Source organism: Homo sapiens, chromosome 2 (assembly GCF_000001405.40).
Source record: "Homo sapiens chromosome 2, GRCh38.p14 Primary Assembly".
In the NCBI taxonomy this organism is placed as follows: domain Eukaryota; kingdom Metazoa; phylum Chordata; class Mammalia; order Primates; family Hominidae; genus Homo; species Homo sapiens.
The window spans coordinates 187,687,215-187,690,418 of NC_000002.12; positions in this window are offsets into that span (position 1 = coordinate 187,687,215).

Below are 3,204 nucleotides of genomic sequence, written 5' to 3' on the forward strand. Positions count from 1 at the left end.
CATCCTCACCCAAACATTTAAATAATTTGATTTTTTATAAGTAATTTCCTATTTTTTTGCCTTTATTTTTTCATTAAAATGTATGGATAGGTGTGCGACATATCTTTTGCAGCAGATGTGAGAAGTTTAAAACATCCTATTAGAAGGAAACCCAGAAAAATGATAAATGATGGTGCTTCACACACAGAGCTATCACAAACTTCACAGAGATACTAGACAAATGGAGTTTTGAAAAAATGTAAATGTCTTTAAGAGTGGAGAAGAAGCGTGTATGTGCTTGTATGTGTGTTTTCATATATATAGTGTGTATGTACATAAATGTATATATGTGTTGGAATATTGGTATATAATAATTATGTTCTTTTCTCTGTATTTATGTAACATGATTAGTGTCAATCAAAATTAGAAAGAAAATACAAAGAAAAATGTTTTGGTTTTGTCTAGTGCAGACGTTAAAAATTTAACCTATTACATTTTCTCATTTGGTAAAATGAGTTAATTATGTTGCATTTTCTTTTCCTTTTATTCAGACTCTCGATACTGTGGTTAATATATTTTTTTTCCAAAGTTCAAAGTTCAAAGGTCAAGAAATATGCAAAAAGAAAATCAAGGATTATAAGCAAATGAAGAAACAGAGGTTACTACAACTCTCTGTCTTGCTTTAGTGATGGAACCATAAATTTTAGCTGAATGGTGGGCTACCAATAATAAAGACTAGAATTCCAGATTTTATTGCAGCAGGTGGAGGACATGTCACTAATTCTGACTAATGTTAAATGAAATGGTAAATGCATGACCTTGTAATGAAGGTACCCTCACAATGGATAGAACACAGCTTTGGTTATGATTCCTATGGACCAGGTAGATTTGAGTGATGCCCCCCAAATGGGCAGAGTAATAAATTAAAAGGAGACTGAATTCCTGACATATTGATATTCACTATATCGCAGGTCACTGTTATTCTGATTCTTTGCTGCAGCAGCTGCACTTGTGTTCTCATTAATGTAGAACATAACTTTATATCTGAGTGCAAATATTCATTCATTCACTCAATTAGCCAGTACCTGTTGAAAGCCAACTATATGCCAGCAGATTCTTATAATCTGGTAATTATACTCTTGGTTGATAAGCCGATATAAGCAAATATGGTATAAATATTATGAATTTAAAGGCAGACTGTAATAAAGAGAAACTCTTCATGCAGGTGTCTTCTCAAGTTGGACCACGAGAAAATTGGAGTTTTGAGAAGGTGCAAATGCCTTGAAGAGTAGAGAAATAAAAATGCTAAATAATAATATATGAACTAGATAATAACATATGAAGAGAATAAAAAAGTATTGAAAATATTATGCTGTCAGAAAGGATAGTCACAAGCGCAAAATAAATGATGGGCAATCAATGCCTCAAATTAATGAAAATAACTTTCCTGTGATATGAGAGACATTCAGAAATTGACATGCATATTTATATATGTACATGAATAAATATAAAAGGTAAATTATGAGACAACAGATGTATAATAAGCCAATTTAAATATATTGTATTACTTTATAGTATTTAATAAAAATTATAAAGCTATCAGAAAATATAAAATGTGCTCTTTGATGAATGCATAGAAAATTCAAATTAATTGGACAAGGGTGGACAGATATAACTGTTGTTTTTATACCAAACATGAAATTTAACATCTAAGGGAGAAATACAACTATACAAAAATGTAATATACTATTCCAAGATAACACTTGTATACATATATATCTTTGATATCACTATGTATTTATTTAGTGTTCAATTTTAACTCTGATCAATATTTACAATACTTTATTTTGATGAAAATAGTCCTTTGAACATTTAGCATAAATTGTATATATTTTCTCTGTATATCTGCTTTCATTTTTTGGAAAATAGGTTTTGACTGTTATATAATGAAGAGATGCCTGAATACTTTATGAATCAATTCATAGCATGTATAAAATGAAATAAAGTATTGACATCTTTCCAAGAAGCAAAATTAACCTTGAGGGAAATTCCGATTCATTTAGAAATCAGACATTGTGAAATTATATCATAATTCCTTCTACAGTAACTACCCTAAAAACCCAAGTAATTTTAGTTTGTGCTTTTAAATCTTTTAATTTAAAAAGATCTTTTTGCAAATTTGTCTCACTCCTGATGTTATGAATTGACTCTTTTATTTCATTACCATAGTCCAGTCAAAACCTTAAAGCAGTTATACACAGCTATGAAATCTAATGGTTTCTTATTAACCTTATTTTAATCCATGCTCTTGATAAGAAGCAATACTTATTCAGAAAGAATTAAAGGATACAGTAAATGTTCAGCCAATGTTTGTTGAATGAGTCATTTTAATGCATGTGTCATGTCTAAACACTGAACTCCATTTAACTGTACTCAGTGAATTGCTATATTGTTGAGATGGATCTTATCTTTACAGAGAATATGAGCAAAATCTTTTATAGGCAGTTATTAATTTGCATTAAATTAGGAATATATTTGAATGTATAGAAACCAATTTAAGACTTCTGGGTGTATACTTAAACATAGAATTATAAAATGTATCTTATAAAGTTGATCTTATTGAAAGCCATTTCTTTCATTTGATCAGTAGATTTCATCCTCTTCTTCCTACTCAAGGATGTTAGTTCTATAATTAACCTCTCTTACATCATAAATTTCTCCTTCTCTATTGGACCATACCCCATTGGCATATAAACGAAAAATGTTAATTATTTTATTTTTTAAAAACACCATAAAATTTTGTTGCACTTCATTGTTTCTCTTTGCAGGAAAACCCGAAAGACTTCTTTACATTTTCATGCTCTAATTCCTCTCCCCCTATTTCTCTCTTCAATCACCAATAAAGGTGTTTGCTCTTTCCAACCCGCTGAAATTCATTTAGTTTACAGTGTACAGTAATTTATAAAAGTTTCTTCGCTTGGCTTCTAGGAAACTCCACTTCATTGCTTTTCATTATACTACACTAGTTCACTGGGATTTTTTTTTCCCCTGATTCTTTCTCTTCTCTCAGCACACAACATTGGAGTGATCCAGGCCTGTCATTGGCCCTTTTCTGTTCTCTAACTACACTCTCTGTTTTGCTGGTCTTACTCAATCTTATAATATTGTATACTATCTCTAATAGCAATTATTCCCACATTTTCAGTCCAGACCATTTCCTGTAGC